The sequence below is a fragment of the Homo sapiens genome, chromosome 11, assembly GCF_000001405.40.
Source record: "Homo sapiens chromosome 11, GRCh38.p14 Primary Assembly".
In the NCBI taxonomy this organism is placed as follows: Eukaryota; Metazoa; Chordata; class Mammalia; order Primates; family Hominidae; genus Homo; species Homo sapiens.
This window is the reverse complement of record NC_000011.10, coordinates 40,558,535-40,578,802: the sequence shown is the minus strand read 5'-3', so window position 1 is coordinate 40,578,802 and position 20,268 is coordinate 40,558,535. Positions and strand designations below refer to the sequence as shown.

At 36.8% G+C, this 20,268-nt stretch overlaps 1 protein-coding gene across 18 annotated transcripts in view; it reads left to right on the top strand.

The window, feature by feature from the left end:
* Positions 1-20,268, top strand: part of LRRC4C (leucine rich repeat containing 4C) — a 1,345,454-nt gene that overhangs the window by 880,850 nt on the left and 444,336 nt on the right. The gene's annotated exons all lie outside the window — the stretch shown is intronic.

The following is a 20,268-nucleotide window of genomic DNA, read 5'->3' as shown; positions in this document are numbered from 1 at the left end:
CACAATGTATTTGTTAGTTTGTAATATTTGTAAAATAAGTGTAGAAAGTTTGGATCTGTGTTGCCAAATGCACCATTAAAATTTGTCCTCTAAACACACTTTCAAAAATAAAAGAGTTGAAAAAGGTGTTTAATGGTCTGTGTTCCAGTTAGTATCTCTACCACAAATAGAATAGTATTTCTAGTCTTTTCCATTTTCTAGGTATTTATCTGTGGAGGGAGTCAGTGTGTGTTATGTGTGTATGAGAGAGAGAGAGAAAGAGACAGGTATATGTGTAGGAATGCTTGGGTAGAAAAAAGAGAGGTAAGTCATCTTATGACCTAAAAATTATTATCAGTAGTATTATCTCTTACACAAAGCATTTTCAACTAGATTAACAATAAATACTTGCAGTTGAGTTTAATAAAATTAATGAAATCTAGAATTTTAAAATATTACTGAAAATTTAAAAGACCACCTATTCCTTAGTTGCATTTTCTGACAAAAATATCCTGACACCTGAATGTAAAAGTTTTCCCTGCGTGTTAGGGCTCACCTGTTTGCCAGGGGCATAGTTGGGAAGCAAATCCAGGTCTGAAATAGACAGATTGAGAGAGAAAAATTTCAGAAAGCCAAATCCTTAGTTAAGAGGCAAAAAAAAAAAAAAAAAAAAAAAAAAAAACCGAAAAAAAAAAGTCCAATAATATCACGCCTGTAATCCCAGCACTTTGGGAGGCCCAGGCAGGTGGATCACAAGGTCAGGAGATTGAGACCATCCTGGCTAACACGGTGAAACCCCGTCTCTACCTAAAATACAAAAAATTAACCGGGCATAGTGGAGGGTACCTGTAGTCCCAGCTACTCGGGAGGCTGAGGCAGGAGAATGGCGTGAACTTGGAGGCGGAGCTTGCAGTGAGCCAAGATCGCACCACTGCACTCCAGCCTGGGCGACAGAGCGAGACTCCGTCTCAAAAAAAAAAAAAAAAAAAAAGAAAAAAGAAAACAAACAAACAAAAAAATCCAGTCTTGGAGGGTTTTAAAGGATGTAGAACAGGGCTTCTCAATAGCAGCGTTACGGGCATTTTGAGCCAGGTCATGTTTTTGTTGTTGTTATTATTGCTTGTTTGTTTTTCCTGAGGGACTGTGGTGTGCACTGTAGGATGTTTAGCAGTATCCCTGGACTTTACTGACTTGATGCCAGTAGCATTTCTCTTCACATGTGACAAACAAAACGTCTCCAGACATAGCCAAATCTCTTCTGAGAGGCAAAGCCACCCCTTTTCCTCTGTTTTCACTACCCCATTAAGAACTACCGATATAGAAAAACAGATATAGTCAATTATAGTGTAACAATGCAAGTTTGCCTGAGAAAGTCCTGGTTTATACCTGTTATCCTGGCATATTACTAGTGACTCCTTTTCCCTTTAAAATTGTCCCTGTTTGTAGTATAAACTATACGATCAGTCTAATAATAGGCCACTTCTCTCCAGTCTGTATTGTGCATTTATGAAAAGTGCAGAGGGTATTTGTAGTACAGTGACTAGAAGCTTGGTTTTCCCATAGGCTTTATCTTCCACTAGGTAAAGAAGAATTGGACCTGTTAGCTTTATGTTAGAAGTATTAATTTTGGGTTGCTCTTTTTCTAAACGTCTAAATATCCTTCTCTCCTAGTGTCACAAGTTCATGCTTTGGATCACACTGTGATTTAAAAAACTCAGTGTATATCTATCTCTGATATTCTGTAATAGCTTACTGTTTTAAGGACAGAAGACTACACACAGGTTTACATTACAGAGTTCATTCTAGAGTCTAATCTGACATTGAAGTTTCCCTAGGTAAAATCCTCAAATCTATAAGAAGGGAACTAAGTTACCATAATCAAGCCTCAAAGGCTCAGTGTTAGTAATCTGTTATTTTATACATTCACTAATTTATGAACATTTAATGAGCGCATACTATGTATTAAATATTAAATTACATGCTAAACCCACAAAGATGAAAAGCTATGACCTCTGCTCTGGAGAATGATGTCTCCTTCAAACAAGAGAGATTAACAGAGGAACGAATAATCATGATACAATGTGATAATTACACTAATTATTTTGTATGCCAACCACAATTAGAAAACTATGAAGGGAATAAGAATGCTACCAACGTAGGGAAAGAAACAGGTCAAGGATGGAGGGGGATTGTTATAAATAGACAGATGTACTTTAAAACTCCTTGGGCATTTCTTCTTTTGAACGTTGAGCTGTCATGAAAACTCCCATTGGGAACCTCAGACGATGTAAGTGAGATGCATGATGCCACTTTCAGGGATCAGTTAGTTAGTGCCCCTAAGCACTCTTCCAGATTTGTCTATCATTAAGGAATACACTCTTAACAACCTGAGAAAGTACAAGGCTATAGGCCAAGTCCAGGCTAAAAATTATAAAAAGGAACTGGTCTAGAAGCATACATTGCCGTCATAAGAATAAGACAGTGACCAAAGGTCTTGATTCCAGATGCCAAATATTAGATCCATCTGTCAGCTTAGTTCCACAATTTAGGAGTAAAATATAAGGTACTAAAACCTGGTGTCCCTGGGGCTTGCTGGTTGAGAAATCCTAATCCAGGTGAGCAATTGCTAGTCCAAACAGGTGTTTTATCTTCCTTCATCCCTCTCTACAGACCTTTGTCGTGGCTTACTTTATTTTTTCATAAAATTAAAATAACAGAAAAATATTTAAGGGTTGTATTTTCATTGTCATTTGTTTTACTGCTCTGAAGCAGGAAAATAAAGATAAATTCAAAGATAATAAAAGAAAATGAGGCTATGGGCAAGGAAGCTGTGACTTGTCTTTAGTGTTGGCTATTTGATATTGAGATATAATTTTATAAGCTGAAAAATATAACCATTACATTAGATTGAAGTAAAACATGCACCATATTTTGCAATCTGTCCATACACATTACACAACCCATTCCTGTGTGAAGGAGTTTTTCCATGTATTATTTGTGAAAGTGGTATAGTTCCAAATATTTGTATATTCCTATTTAAATATGTCATTCTCATGATTATTGTTGTTTGCCATTGATGAAAAATATCTGTCTTCTAAGTAAAGATCATCAATACTTTATGGAATACTAAATCTTAGATCTTGAAGAAAATTGAATTATTCATTTTATAAGTAGAACCCCACTAAAGAGGCTTAAATTCATAGAGCTAATTAGTAGTAAGTTTCAGACTAGAAATCAAGTATTTCCAAATCTATTTATGTGTCCTTCCCATTGCCTAAGACTTTTTAGTAAAATAATTCTTGGAACCCTTCCTAACATTTTAAAAGTAGGGTGATAGACATATCCCAGTTTCCGTGAGATTTTACTGGTTTTAGCACTGAAAATCACAGGTCCCAAGAAAACCTCTCAATCTCAGGAAAGCTTTTTTTTTTTCATGAAATTAAAATAACAGACAAATTTCGAAGGTTGTATTTTTATTTTCATATGTTTTTGTGCTCCAAAGAAGGGTAATAAAAAATTGAAAGAATATAAAAGAAAATGAGAATGTAGGCAGCAAAACTACATATGGCTGGGAACCCCATGACGTGCGCTTATTTTATTTTTTTGTTTGCTCTTTCTCTTTCACTCACTCACATGCATTCATGAGCTAGAAACCTGAGAGTTTCTTAAGCTGTATTGTATTTGCTTTTTTCTATCATAGTACTGGTAAGTGATGATTCCATTGTCCTGAGATATGGAGAACTGGAGCTCCTGCATGAGCTCATCTTTTGGGTGAACCTGCTGAGGCTCTCCTTTGACTGTGACCCAGTCAATGGGGTAGGAGTCTTGCAGCCAACAGGATGTGCCCATACAGTGGTCTTACCGCCCTTTTAGACAACACTCTGGCTATCAGGGACTCTGGAGATGGCGTGCAACCTTCTAGAGTGTGTAGGCCTCCTCACTACTATGTGCTCATATCAGTAGTCAAGGTGGGCAAGAGCAGCTCTTTGTAAGGTCCTGGGAGGAGGATGTGGAAAGAAATTGAATGAATAAACCTAGGTGTCTGTATGCCTATGCATATGTCTCCTGTTGTATGGAGAGAAGCCAGGGGTGGAAAGAAAGGGGAGAGTGCAGCCAGCAATTGGAGCCAGCTCCACCCCCATGATCTGAGAATTCTAAATTTAAAGTTGGCCTTCTAGAGACTTATATAAAGGGACATTTGTCAAGATAGGAGGTTTGAATACATTGTATTACACAGTTGGTTAGCTTGATTTATAATTTTAAAATATTTATCCATATGGTGTTCAGGTCTGCATTTGTACTAATGTTCCAGTCTCTGTAACTCTTATGGGAGGGCTTGATTTCTGCCCTCCCTTAGCTCAGGTTTGTTCCTGATATCGCCTATAGATGTATTTAGAAACATTGGTTCTCTGTGCAACACAACAATCAAATACATTTAGGATACATGGGCACCTCTTAAGCCAGCTTCCCATGTCAGGGCTTCAAGGTCTGTTCTGTTCTCTTTTGGGCCCTGACTTCATTGTCCTGGCTGGCCAATAGCTTCAAACAGCCATAATTGGAGGAAGGTTTGGTCTGCTGTCTGGTTAACTCCATTACTGAGAGCAAAGAAAGTCTTCCTAGCATAGATAAAGATGGAAGGAGTCCTTGACTTTAAAATGTTACAGGAGAATCAATTGAAATACATTTCTCTAGAGAGAGTTTTTTTCCAACACATTCAGGTGTAAAAAATATATTTTATGTTTAATATCATACATATACTATCTCACACTCTTTAACTGTGACAATTGCTGTGTCAGTAAATTACTGAGCTACTTTAACACCGTAATCAAATTTCACAAATTCAGATAAGGGAATTTTAAAAAACCTAACAAATAACAGTAGCCACTCTGCTGAGCATTTACAATGCACCAACTGTTTGCTGAATGGTTTACATCCATGGTCAGAGTTTATTCTTGGGAAAAAAAAAGATGACTGTAGTCTACCCACATTTATTTGGTTGAGAAAACTGAGGTCTTAGGTTATCTATCTTGTCCAAGTCACATAACTAATGTGCAGTAAGTTATCCTCTGTCAAAGCATTAGTTAATTCATCTAGGATACATTTATTGCCAATCTTTCATGTGTAATGTACTGTGCTAGGTGCTCCCTGTTTGTTGGATAGATGGGCAAGAAAACAATTGTTTATGGAACTTACTGTCATGTGAAAGCTTAATATGTTTTAGGAAATCAGAAGAGGGATATTGAATTTAACCCTGGGGCTCATAAATTTCTGAAAAGGTTTTCATGTGGTGTCAAACCTGGAACTGAGTCTGAAAAAAGAAACAGTTATTATTTAAGATTGATGAAGTGAAGACAGGCTTGGTGGACATAAAGAATTACATATGCAAAGTCACAGAGGCATGAATGTTCTTGGAAGGTGTAGAGAATGGTATTTACTTTCCTATAGTCAGAGAGGCTATAAAGGATGAACATATGAAGCTAAACCAATTAAGAGAAGATAGAGACGATTTTTAAAATATTGTCATAATAAAGAAAACACCAGAAACACCAATGAATTTTGTCTTTATAGGTTTGTAGGTATATAGAACATGACTGCAGGAAGAACACCTAAAATCTTACTATTCATTTTAACATCTGAAAGATGAAGAAATGGGTCCTGGATATATTTAATCTAAGTTCAGTCTAAGAACTAAAAAGTAGCAAAGTGCTATTCTCCTGAATCTCCAATCCCAGAGCAATAATAGTCACCTTTGAAATAATTTATTTTATCTTGAGTAATCTAATAACTAAATTTAAATCCTAATCAATGAATATTTCCTAACTGCTGACTACATTTTAGTGCATATATGGTTGCAGAAGACAAAATAAATTTGGGTAGACTACAAAGAGAACAGTTAATTCAATTCAGAAAAAAATGATAAGCATTTTATTTTCAATTGTCATCTCACTTCTTTAATACCAAATGATATTATAATAGCAAATGCATTTGCATATCGTAATAGTGCATGTGGTTTTGGAAATGTGATCAAACTCTTATGCTAAAGTCAAGCCTTCTATGAGTCCCCTCACTGTGTGACTCCTGTCTCAACCTTGGTGGTTCCAGTTCTAGGACCAGTCCTAACTCTCTGTGGAAGAGGCTGAGTGTTGACATTTTAGACTGACATCCCAATTTACATAGCCAGGAATTTGCCTCATTTTTTAAACCAGGCCCCTGCCCTGTAACTCACTTCTGATACATGTGCTCCTGTATTATGACTAGGTCTGTCCTTCCTTTTTCAGTCTTCTCCAAAGATGTATTCAGCTGTAAACCTCAAGCTATAACTAAACTCCACTGCCTTTTTTGTAGATATTATTGGTCCAGTCATCTTGTATTTCTAAACACATGTACTCATCGATGAGCTCTTTCCACCTGTTGGAACATACCTACGTTCTCCATTAAATCTCTCTGATGCTTGCTGATATACTGCTACATCTGCTGTTACTCTTTCTCTCAGATAGTGTTCATCTGGATAGGCAGGGCCTAATTATGGCATCTAAACCTGGGTCTGGACCTTAGTATCTATCCCAGGCTGGTGATAAAGTCCCAACAGTTTCTAGCCTATCCTTTCTAACTTCAATTAGCAATAGTGTATTCCATTTTTACAATATTTTTTAAAAAGTTGTGTTCCCCATATGAACAAAATGACTGTTTGTTCCTGCTTTATGTTGAACAATTAATAGCAGGTACCATACTTCCTATAATGTAGGACCGATAGTCATTTGTTAAAGAGGAAAATATGGAGTGGTGGACTATAAGGAAGGAATACGGAAACCCTGTGGTAATATTCTTTGGAAGGAGTTAGGGTTCTGGATAGTAGAGGTTAAGAGGAAGTAATCTGCTGCATCCAGGAAGCATTCACCTACCGAAAGACCACAGATGTGCCACTGCTTTAGAGAAAGGCTCTGTTTGTTGAGTGATTTGGAAAACTTGCTAAGCTCCCCTTTTCTTCTAAAAGTGGTCTTTTGAGTTTGCCCTGCTTTCATTCTTCATAAGGAAAAGTTGCCAATAAAACCTGAAGGCTTCAAATTGAGATGTTCTAAGCTATAGGGGGTGTTTAAAGATCTATAATGATCAGGAAGCACAGATAGAAACACAATATAATAAAAAGGTTAGGATCAGATATTGTTTTAGAGAGATCCTCTGGGCTATTTCTAATTACAGATAAGACTGAATTATACATAAAGAGCTCATTAAGCTGAAAGTCAGGAGTCATGTGTTTCAGTAAAGACTCTCCTTGTAACTAGTTGTAGACGGTTCCTTTGAATAAGTCACTTGAATTGTCCAGCCTTATCTTGTCCAGCTATATACTGATGGGAATTAAGAGTTTTCTATTTCATACTGCAATTTATTCTGTTCTGTCAGGAATTCTGTTCTATGACAGTGCATAAAAATTCTCTGTAAACACTATTATTCAACAGTGAAATTTACAATACAAGGAAAATACAACTAAAAATTTAAAAAAAAATTAACATCGGTGGGCAATGAACATCATGTGCATGTTAGCTTTTACTTTTCAAATTCAGATGTACTCAAACAGCACGGAACCCTAGTTGAATGCTTTATGTCTGTTTTCATCCTCCTATAGTCTTAAAAAATCAGAACACATCCTGTATATGCTGTTTATAAAATACATAATTACGTATCCTAATTACTACCATTAATGCAATTTTATTCCAATGTGGTTATATATTCATAAAACTCTTTAGCTACAAAAGAGAGAACATTAGAGACACTATTTACATACAGTGCCTCAGAACTTATATTGATAGTTTCATGATATAGTTTTGCATCAGTAAAAAAACATTAAACAAAAGAAAGTATTATAGAAAATTGTATTTTAGCATATCCAAAGTTTTTTCTTGTCTTAAAAAAATCTTTAAATTTATTTTTAATTTCTTTGTTTATTTCTTCACTTTAATAAATCAAATATTTGATTACATGCTTTTTTTCTGGTACATTCAATATTCATAATGGCTGATAGCACATCAAAGAATCAATTTAAATCTTCAGCGTCTTGGATGATAAGAGAAAAAATGTCTTTAGAACAGGTGTCATAAAGGATGAGAATCTCAGAGAAATAATATCTGAAGAGAAATAGAGAAATAGATACATAGTATATACCAAGCCACCACAATGGAAGTAGAGGCATCAACATATCCTGAATGAATACCATAATTTCCCTCCATAACATACATACTTGTTATTTTCTTCACCCCTTAAATGGTAGTAGTATTATGGGTTATAAAGATACAAGAGAAAATTATTCAAGGTGGAGGGACACATGCAACCATTTTACATAGTCTAAAAGCAGCCAGTCCTCATAGTGTATCTGTATTGTGAGCAGGATCACATTACTTTTCCTGGCAGTCTTTGGGTTGCCCAGCACAATGACAGTTTTCTATACCAAACTGGCTTTGTATTGGGCAAGGTTAGGTCCTCCACCCAGAGAACGCTAGCTCTTGCCACTCTGAGACTTGTCTCATCTAATTTTAACTTGCAAATATTGATTTTTCCCCAGTATAAAAGTGGTGTGTGTAAAATATACAAATTTCAGGACTATAAAAATGCATAGAAAAAATAATTCATATATAATTACACTACTCAGACATTGTACTATTTTGGTACATGTTTTCCTAGTACTGTAATATACATATAAATTATGTGAATAGATTTATTTATATGTATGCATGTATACATGTGTATGTTTATGTATATACTCATATATATAATATGTGCATATTTTATATGTACATATTATTTACATATGTGTAAATATATATTATTTTTGCATTTTATACAATGTTACCATATTGTACAAACTCCATGGAGCAAACTGATTTATTTTTACTCGGTAAACCTTTTATGAATATTTCTCAGCAACATGATTTTACTGCTTGTTAGTATTTCGCTATATGTATACACAATTTTTAAATTTATCCACTTTTTATTGATTCACAAATTATTATGAATATTTTATTTTTAAAGATTTCCATTAGCAGGAATAAAATAAAAATAGAGGTCCGTTTTTCATTTAATCCTCAGTATAGATGTTGAACTCATAATGATCACTTTCTTGGTACCAGCCTTTGTGCTAGAAGATGATTTATATGTATGATATCATTTAATCATCAAACTTCCCTGTAGAACAGACAGTGCTAGTCGCATTTTATAGTCCAAAAAAACTGGATGACACTTTAATTAAAATATATATATATACACGCATAAACATTCACATACAAACACAGACATCACACATACATAGGCATATATACTGAATTGGAAATTCTACTAAATTTGGTCACTTTGCTTTTAGGAGTTAATAAATGAGCTCAGGAAAGAGCTTTCAATCTGTTGTAGTAACTGACTCTGGTTTTGCAAGTCTGTAAAAGGTATGGGACCATAGGCTTTTGGAATTATCTAGATAGGATACTAAATTTCTTCTGGCTTAATTACATTGTTTTACAGATGAGAAACTTCATCTCAAATAATCACATTTATATCAGTTTCAGCATCTGAGTCTAAATTCAGGCTGTCCATTCATAGCATCCTTTATTCATTAATTTATGCATTCAATAATTACTTGTCCAGTATCTACTGTGGGCTGAACAAGTGTGGTAAGGCCTGAAAGGTGTGGAGATCAGATTTTCAAGAGCTTATCTCATCAGTAGATCTCAAATTTAAAACTTTTCCTAATATATTTATTTAAGAAAATGTTTAGCATGTGTCTTGCATGTCTCGGCTACTGCGTTTGGTGCTCAGAAAACAAAGAACAGTAAGTACATCCTCCGTGGAGTGGAAGAGTACAGGTTAGCTGTGGAGTAAAGAGCTAGTATTTTCCCATATTGAACTCAGAATATGATCATGCACCACCTTTACCTGTAATCCTTGAAACCAAGGTAGACTCTTTTTTGTTCAAGTCTAAATCCATGTATATTCTCTCTAGCAAGATCATTTGATTGTTTCCTAATTTCCCACTTTCCTCATCCCATGACAACTTGCCATAGTTGACTGACCCTCTAGGTTACTATATCTGTACAATACACACTGATAGATTTCTTTCCATTCTAGGTATGTGATTCCAGGATAGGGCTACTATTAATTTCTCCTGGCTGTGTGCTACATAGTGGGTGTTCAGTGTGGTCCAGAGAGTGTTTCTGCTCATATCAATCAAGTCCCCTAAATCTGATGCATGGCCCCAATAGTATCAGGCAAATTAGATTTTCGTGGAGCTGTTATAGAAATTATATTAGTTACTTAGTTAGTGCTATTTGAAAATGTACCCCAAAACTTAATGGCTTACAACAACAACACCATAAATAAATTTTACAGTTTCTGTGAATCAGGAATCTAGGCATGGCTAAGCTGGCTCTTCCGGCCCAGGGGCTCTCAAAAGCCTGCAATCAAGGTATCTGCTAGGGCTGCAGTCCTCTGGAGGCTGAACTGTGGAGGAGTCACTTCCCAGCTCAATAACGTATGTGCCCTACAGGCTGTAGAGTCCTCACAGGCTGATGGTTGGAGACATCAGTTTCTTCCCTTGCTTTCTCCAAAGGGGTTCTCACAGCATGGCACTTTGCTTCCCCCAGAGTCAGAGATCTGAGAAAGAGCAAGAGCATTGCTAGCAAAACAGAAGGCATAATATTTTTGTAACCTAATCTCAAAAGTGACATTCCATCACTTCTATTATGATCTGTTCGTTTGAAGCATGTCCTGAGGTCCAGCCCACACTGAAGGGGCGGGGATTTTACAAAAGCAAAGATTTCAGGAAGTGGTAATCACTGGAAAGTGAAGAAATGGGTTATTCTGACTTGAACCTTCCAAATGCCTTCACTGATGAGATAGTATTTTAACCAGACTTTGAAGAATATAGCTTTGAGGTAAAGGGGGATTTCATGAGAAACTAAACATCAGAAAAAGTATACATACATGAATAAAGGCACAGAGAAATCAAAGTTCTGGGATTCATTCATTCCAGTGACATTATAGAGAGACTAGCATATGCTAGAGTAATAATCTGGTCAGGCTAGAGTTCAGGGCAAGTCTTATGTCTTATCTGACTCTTAGCAGAAAGACCATTAACCCAGCATTATTATCACTGCTAAGTGATGCTACATTATTACATTTTCTAGTAAGTGTATGTCAAACTTCATTACAGAGTCATGGGACTGGAGAGCATTATAAGGAGTCATATATCTTATCTCTGTTTATGGAAAAAGCATGAGCTTCACTATCTGAAATACCTGAATCCCATCTGGACCACTTATCAGCCCTTGCCTAAGTTACTTAACTTTGCTAAATCCAAGTGTCCATAGCTATAAAATGGAGCAATTATAATTACGTCAAACTGCTGTTGGAAGGATTAAAAGAGATAACATTTGTGAAAACACATAGCTTGATGCCTGGTATATAATAGACATTCAATAATCTTTGCCTGGCTTGCATTGCCTTTTTTTTCTGTACTTGGCCCTTTTTCATCCTGTCTTCATTTTAAAATTCTATCATATTGTTAAAAAAATGTGATTACCAAGTGTTTTGAAAAGGCTGCAAGGAAGGTTAGCCATTTTATATCACTCCAAGTCTTTGACATCTTTGTTTATCCTAGAGGCAGTACTATAAAATTACAACAAAATTAACCAGAAAATTAACCTTTAATCTCTTATATTTAGTTAGTATATTCCACATAATACACACTCAATAGATGCTTCTTAATTGAATGATTTTTCACCTTGTAGTCAAAAGTAATACAAAGCCTCTGAAAGGTAAAACTAACACCATTTATTATACAAAATCTAAAGAACTATAATAAGTACTAAGCAAACAGATGACTAGTATAAATGACCTAAGATCTCTGTGTTTGTAAGAAAGACATTTAATACCTAGGCTAATTATAGATATAGCACTGCCTGACACATTGTAATTTATGCTTTTATTTTGATTTCTTCTTATTTAAAGAAATTAGGTTCCTTTTCAGGTGGTATCCCATGCATCTGAGGCTGTTATGCAAATTATAGCTATGCTTACTTTCAATATTTAAAAATTATCTTAGCAATAATGTTAGCTTTAACCAGCACCTTCTTTAGGGAAGAAAAATTGAAATTGCTACCTATGTTCATTAGCAGTGAAAGAGAGGAAACAAAATATATCAAGAAGTGTAACAGACCCAAGCTCTTCTTGTCTAGTTCCATTATTTCATACAAAACATACCTGCTCATTTAACATATTTGAATATATGGCTTATTGACAAGTTAAATTAAATAATCTCTTGTAGTTCTGGATCCATCTAACTTCTAGTAACTATTCTATAATTTGTTATAGATCACATCACCCTCTATTATTAAAGATTATATGACATTATCTACTTAACCATTATAGGTTTTATTTGATTTCTGTCTTAATTTGATATATAGAGTAGAAATATGGTACTCAACGTTCATCGTTCAAAATTTTGACTTTCGAGGAGCAACTCTAAAAGTCTTTGCAATTTTGCTGAAGTTTTAATATGAATTATATAATATTTAAGGGTGATATGCAGAAGGATTACTTAAATAATGAGCAAATCCAATTGAATATCCAACACACAAACCTCAAATGTGGCTTTCTTCTAGTTAATATCACTTCTCCAGTCATTCCAGTGAAGTGGTCAAAAAATATTTAGAGGAAAAAAAAAGTGACATAAGTAAAAAAAAAAAAAAAAAAAAAAACTTAGTAAAAATAGAAAAGGCAGTTAATTTACGAATAACAAAACATACAGAACATATAGCTTTAATGGAAATATGAATTGTAGCAGAATAGGCCAAGCATCTTTACAAGTGTTTCTAGTGTGTGAACTGGAGGACATTTCATGTTGTATTGGGTATATCTAAAATATTAAGTACTTTCTAACTAGACAAATTATAGATTCTGAATTATAGAAATTGTCTTTTTTAAAATTTTTCCTCCATGGCCAAAAAGCTTAACTACAAAGCAAAAGCTTTTTATACAAGCCAGAATTTTATGAGACTTGAGACATTTTTTGCTCCTTTAGGTGGTATACCTGTTTGGGAAATCCAAGCAATAGATGGCAAGACAGAATTAGATTCAGAAAAAAATTATTAGAAGGAAATGTCTCTGAAGGCACATGGGGAGAGAAAGCCGAGACAGGCCAAAAGAGTCTTTGGGTGAGGAATTGGATGTCGCAACTGTCAAAATTGTAATGGAAGGAAGGGAGTTTGGGTAGGAAGAGCCCTGACTACATTACACTGTGAGAATATCTCAGCCAGACCACTAGGTCCCCCAAGGAAAATATTGCCCCTAAATGAGAACATGCTAGGCAAGAATGGACTAGCTCTACTGCCTTCTTCAAGGTCAGTCACTGAGTGGGAGCAGCTTTGGGATAGTATAATTTTAGCATGAACTCTACAGTACATCTTGAAATTGCAGACTTGGTGGCTGTCAACTAATGGTTGATTACTTATACCAGCTTTTTTAAAATTATTTTTTTCATGAAGGGAGACCTGAGGGGCACACTGCCCCCGATAGCAGCCACAGTCTGTCTCTTATGATGCACAGACTCACTTCTCCATATAAATGATGGAGAATAATTTCTCCACGGTTGCTGGGGGCTTCTCCTCCTGAGAGGAAACATTGAAGAAGGAAGAAAGTGGAATGAATCACATTTCCTGTCACTGCAGTTTAATTTCAGAGCAGCAACTGATATTATCATCTCTCTCCTCCACTATCTATTCTAAAGTTCCTCACCCTCTGCAGGTCTTGGTTGGTTGGTAGATAGTGTAACCCAATCCCTTATCCCAGAGCGATCTTAGTTCCTAGAAATTATACGTGTCTCAGGCTGCATGTGTCCACTGAAAGCTACAGTTGGGCAACAAATAACCAAGTGGATCATTTGGATTTCTTACATGGTTCTCCATGCCTCCATTGTGTAGTATGAGCCGTCCTCCTATCTCTTGCCAGTCAATTACCCCTGCCAAAATGGCAACTTGTCCACTAAAGGAGTCCAGGTGTCTTGACAGCAGCTCATAGTTTAATGATATCTTGCTTTGGTCCCTGAAAAAAAGTATTCCCTCTTTAGGGACCACTCCCTCTAATCTGGAAGAATGTAACACTGAGAAAGTGTGAAGTATCAAGCAATTAGTCCCTCAGTAGGTGATGTGAAAATAAGCCACAGGATCATTTGATGATTATGTCCCACATCCAAGAGTGTATGATTGGAATTGGCATTTGGCGCAATCCCCATCACTCCCCTGGCTATCAGAAAGGGCAGCCCTGTGTCCACCTCTTCCACCATCAGTGTTAACCTGCATAGAAGAGCCACCACTGAAGCTCTTGGTAATTTGGGTGCTCCTTTCACCAGTGCATTTACGATGGACTGGATGAATTACATGTCCTCTGGACCTTCCTAGAAAAGAAAATAATCTTCTAGGGCATCTTCTAGACTCATGTAATATGTCCATTCCAGCATTCCCAGCTCTATGAGCCTTTTTGCTCATTCCTTTTTTTGTCTTACAAGGAAAATCAGGTACTCACACTTCGCCAAGCATTGGCCGTTGTTGTCTCAGGGCTTCTCAAGGCCATGCCACCAGTGAATTTGCCCATTCCCTATGGTCTTTTACAGGGCATTAAAGCCAATGTCCTAAGAAAGTACCCACAAGTCAACAAATTCAGTCATACATCCTGTCTGTCCTTAATCAATACCCTTTGAAATTCAATCCCAGGAGTTCTCTTCTGGATCTGGAAGGTATATGTTAGCAAATTCCTGCAGCTTCTTTGGGTTGTAATCTATTTTCATACTTATCAGGCCTAGCATATCCCCAGCCTACGTGCACTGAAATGTAACCCTAGTTATTGGCCTGACTTATGGGGGATGAAGCAGCAGCAGCTCTTGAGGGCAATTCCTGTTGCCTTAAGGAGACAGAGGGCTCTGTAGTGCATTCCTGTAGTGGGGAAGCAAATAGGGAAAGTACTATTTGAAAGAGTTGGGTAACATCTTCAGGCACAAATGGTTCAGGTGAGTCTGTAAAGCCAGGCTTTTCAAGGGCTTCCTTCCCAGGTGTTCCCATTTCGTGTTTCAGATTTCAAGGTTTTCTACATCAGGTTGAATCCTTAGCATAACAGATCTGCCAGGCTCGAGAATGTACACATCTTGGGAGCTCTGTGCCACCAACTATTAGCCCATGTACTTTATATCAGCTGTGTCTGCTTTTTCATTGCAGGAAATAATACCGAAGAAGCATCTACCAAAAAGACCCTCTGACCCTTACTTAGCCTTTAACTGTTTATTAACCACCCTCAGTTTCTCATTATCCCTCTGCCTAGTGTCAATACGATTTAATCATAATCATCCCACTCCACCGTCCTTGTAGGTGTTGTTACTCTCAGACCTTTCCAGTGTTTGAATCATCTCACTGGCAAGGGCATTCATCTCCACCAGGCTTTTCCCCAAGTTACCAACAGTGTAATCATTAGCAATGAGTCCATGACTTTGGGCCAGGCACCCTCCTTGCCCCACATTTCACCCTGTATGTGGCTCTTCCTTCCAGCTGGGCAGTGAGTGATGAGGATCCCAAAAACTCATCTCAGTCTATGTCCTTGCTATGTATGTACAAAAATGAGAAATGTAAATTGTGTTTAAAAACCTTATCTCATTACATACTTTCTCAAACCACTCTTTGAGTGTCATTTTTGGGTCCTCCAAGAAGCTGAGATAAAAATGGAATTTGATGTGCAAGATATTTACTGCGGAAAGTACCTGAGGATGATCAAGAGGAGAGGAGAGGAGAAGGAAGAGAAGTAGGCAGAGAGAGCCTTCTGATCACTAGGTGAGTCTGACATCACAAAAAAAAAAGAAAAAAAAAAAGGAAAGGAGTGATGATCGAGTAGAAAGAGCCCCACACAGAGTGCCACGCTAAGAAAGCCTCAGTCAGACATGAGGAGCCAAGGAACAAAGATGAGCCGTTGCAGAAAGTGAAAGCTAGGCATGAATTGTTCGGTTCTAATACCCACTCACATACACAATTTGCTCAGCCATTGGCTTGGAGTAGTCATAGTCAGTGTGAACTCTGCAGAGGGTCTGAAGTTGCAGCAGCTGGGGGCAGGTTTCCTCTTGAAGAGAAATCTAAGTGTACACTTAAGGTAGTTTGAAATAATGAAAAAAAGAGAAGCATCAGCTCTAGTCTCGAATAGAATAGATTAGAGTTTCTGTTCCAGCTCAGTTTCACTAGATTTGTGATTCGTGCAAGTGTCATGATATTTATGGGAGTGTTTCCTCATGCATAATGCAAAGATAGTATTACCTACTTTATAGGTCTTAATGATTTAACATAAAGTATGTAAAATTATACAGCATGATGAATGACCTATAATCAGTTTTTTAAAGAATTATTTACCTCCTCACCTCTGCATCAAATTCCTCTCATCTACAGACTAATTTAATTTATTTGCATTTTAAGTTGGGAATAATATTAGTGTCCTTAAAAAATATAAATGCAAGAAAAAACACTATAAATACATTTTATTTTGTTAACATTTAAGAAATCTAGTTGCTTCATGTTGATAATCAAATAAATAAACCTACCAATTAGGGCTTTAACATTTGTTATGGAACATGGTACACATTCCCATTGAGGTTTAATTGTTAAGGTTTGTTTGACACATTTTAAGTGTTTAGACTGAAATCTTCACGGTTTGGAAATCATTGTACTTCTAGCACTGGCAGAAGACATGTAAATCAGCCATAAGTGTTGTCTAGACCACCTATGTGGGTGATATTTTCTCTCAGTTTATTGGATAGTTTCAATATAATATCTAATAACTATGTTTGTTGTAAACATGTCTGCTGCCTCAAGCCTGTAAAGAATTGCTTCATGCACCCCATTATGGAGTAACAGATTACAACTATTTGTCAATTTCGGCTCCATTAAAGATTATATGAAGAAAATTCCAACTAATGGCCACCAAACAACTATTTAGTTTCAATCAATAATTTGTTAAATAATTCTGTACGAGTGAATTTGTTACCAACACAATGAAAGGTTTATCTAATCTCCTTCTTTAGGAGTCTACTTTAAAACAACAACAACGGGCCGGGCGCGGTGGCTCATGCCTGTAATCCCAGCACTTTGGGATGCTGAGGCAGGCGGATCACAAGGTCAGGAGATCGAGACCATCCTAGCTAACACGACGAAACCCCGTCTCTACTAAAAATACAAAAAATTAGCCGGGCGTGGTGGCGGGCACCTGTAGTCCTAGCTACTTGGGAAGCTGAGGCAGGAGAATAGCGTGAACCTGGGAGGCAGAGCTTGCAGTGAGCAGAGATTGCGCCACTACAATCCAGCCTGGGCAACAGAGCGAGACTCTGTCTCAAAAAAAAAAAAAAAAAAAAAAGGAATCCTCAGAACAAAGAATAAAGATGATCCGCTAGTGAGCATATAGACAGTAGATAATGAGCTAGTATTGCTGGAAGACACCTTAGAGATTCTGCAGTCCAATCCCTTCATTCCACTCGTAATCAGAGAGATTAAGTAATTTGTTAAAGGTGACACGGGAAGGAGTGGTAGCAGGTTTTAGACCTGAATTCGAGTCCTGAGATACTTAGACTCATAAACTTCCCCCTTTATGCATCTGTTATGTGATTAGCATTGTGCTGAGCAACCCGGGGAACGCAGAAGGAAGACACATTATTTTCCTCATTTTCCTAAGTTTGACCAATATCAATTTTTGTGATGATAAGTCCTCATGAAGATAAAACTGTCAAACTACATTAATGTGTTACATTGAGAAAAGAAGGAGAGAAAACAAAGGATATTTATTGATCTCTTATTTCTCAAATGTAATTTTATATATTGAATCTCTTTTTGTCCTTAAATTAACTCTCTGAAATGGTTTGTTTCATTTCTGTCATTTAACCAATAAGGTAACTGAGGCTCAGAGGATTATGTGGCTTGTTCAAGGTTATATTGTGTATAAATGCAGATTATCTGTGACTTTAAAGCTCTTACTCCTTCACCACTTCCAAAACAGAGCATCTGATTGACAGAAGTTAGATCAGATTAGAATGATCATCTCTGAACTTTCAGAATGAATGATATCACATATACTTACATACATTATAAATGGTAAAACTAGAGCCCAAACACAGCTCTTTCAGTTTCAAATTGCCTTTCCTTTTCTCAAAATAATCCCTCTTCTTATTTTTTTCAAATAGAAGTAGTTATCAGTAAGTTTCCCAGTTGCATTTCTACATCAAATATAATCACGCAAATAAAGTGGGAAAATATGGGAAAAAAGAAAATTGAACTTTCACTGGGTCTTAGAATACAGATAACACACACACACACACACACACACACAAACACAGGCACACACATCATTGGTTGGTTAGGTCAATGGATCTACCTAATTCGTTGTTGGCATGGTGTTCTAGGAAGTCCGTGAATATTTAATATATTTGGAACCAAAGTCTTCATTTGGTTGTGACGAGTGGGAGAAGATCAATGCCTGGTGCTGTGTACATCAGCATCTTGTACAAATCTTGTAGGACTGATGTTTGCTCTGTGTATTTGTTTGTGCTATAATATTATTTAGTATATAATTGCTCTGAGAATAGAATTGTCTCCTATAAGCAAGTGTTTATAGACACCTAAACGATGAGAATATTCCAAGAACAGGTCACCCAGAATATTCCCAGAACATAACTCTTCAGGCAGGCCATAGGTTTTAGAGGAAAGATCTTAAAATAAAATGGGCTCTTAACTGGGGATGTGACTCAGTCTTTGCTGTTACTCTAAGAAGATCAAGACACTCAGGAGATAATTTCTTCACTAAGGCAGCCATAAACTTCAAGGAAACCACATGTAAGTGTAAGATGGTTTAATGATTTTCATGTGTTTATTTATTTTTGTCTTTCTCTGCCATCCATTTAAAAATTTGTATCTTGTGGCCAACAAGCATGTGAAAAAAAAGCTTAATATCACCGATCATTAGAGAAATGCAAACCAAAACCTCAATGAGATACCACTCGTACCAGTCAGAATGGTACGAGGTAGTCATACCATTAAAAGTCAAAAATAATGAGTTTTTTAAAAGTCAAACCTATTAAAAAGTCAAAAACAATGAAGGCTGTTAAGGCTGCAGAGAAAAGGGAACACTTACACACTGTTGGTTCTAGTGTAAATTAGTTCAGCTATTGTGGAAAGCCGTTTGGTGATTCCTCAAAGAGCTAAAAGCAGAACTACCATCCCACCCAGCAATTCCATTACTAGGTAGATACCCAGAGGAATATAAATAATTCTACCATAAAGACACATATGGTCAGGCACAGTGGCTCCAGCCTGTAATCCCAGCACTTTGGGAGGCCAAGGCAGCTTGATCACCTGAGTACAGGAATTCAACAGCAGCCTGGGCAACATGGCAAAACCCCGTCTCTACCAAAAGTACAAAAAATTAGCCAGGTGAGGTGGTACACTCCTGTGGTCCCAGCTACTCAGGAGGCTGGGGATGGGAGGATTACTAGAGCCTGGGAGGCAGGGGTTGCAGTGAGCTGAGATGCACACTGCACTCCAACCTGGGTGGCAGAGTGAGACCCCACCTCAGAAAAAAAAAAAAAAAAAAAGACGCATGCAAGCGAATTTTCATTGCAGCACTATTCACAATAGCAAACAAATTGAATCAACCTAAATGTCCATCAATAAGAGATTAGACAAGAAAATGTGGTACATATAAACCATGGAATACTATGTAGCCATAAAAAAGAATTAGATCATGTGTTTTGCAGGAACATAGATGGGAGGTGAAAACTATTATCTTTAGCAAACTAGCACGGGAACAAAAACCAAATACTGCATGTTCTCACTTACAAGTCGGAGCTAAATGATAAGAACTTATGAACACAAACAAGGAAACAACAGACACTGGGGTCTACTTGAGGTGGAGGGTGGGAGGAGGGAGAGGAGCAGAAAAAAATTACTGTTGGGTACTGGGCTTAATACCTGGGTGATAAAATAATCTGTATAACAAACCCCCATGACACGTGTTTACCCATGTAAGAAAAAAACCTTCACATTTACCTCCCAAACCTAATATAAAAGTTTTTAAAAAATCATGTCCGTTTAGGCTAAGAGTAAGCAAAGATCTTTGCTAAACAGCACAATTGGTCAAGACTAGAATATCAAGGAGACACAGTACAGGGGCAGGAGTGATGTGGTAATGACGGAATTAATCAAAGTGAGAGAGCAAAGAAAGAGATAGTCGGGTAGATAG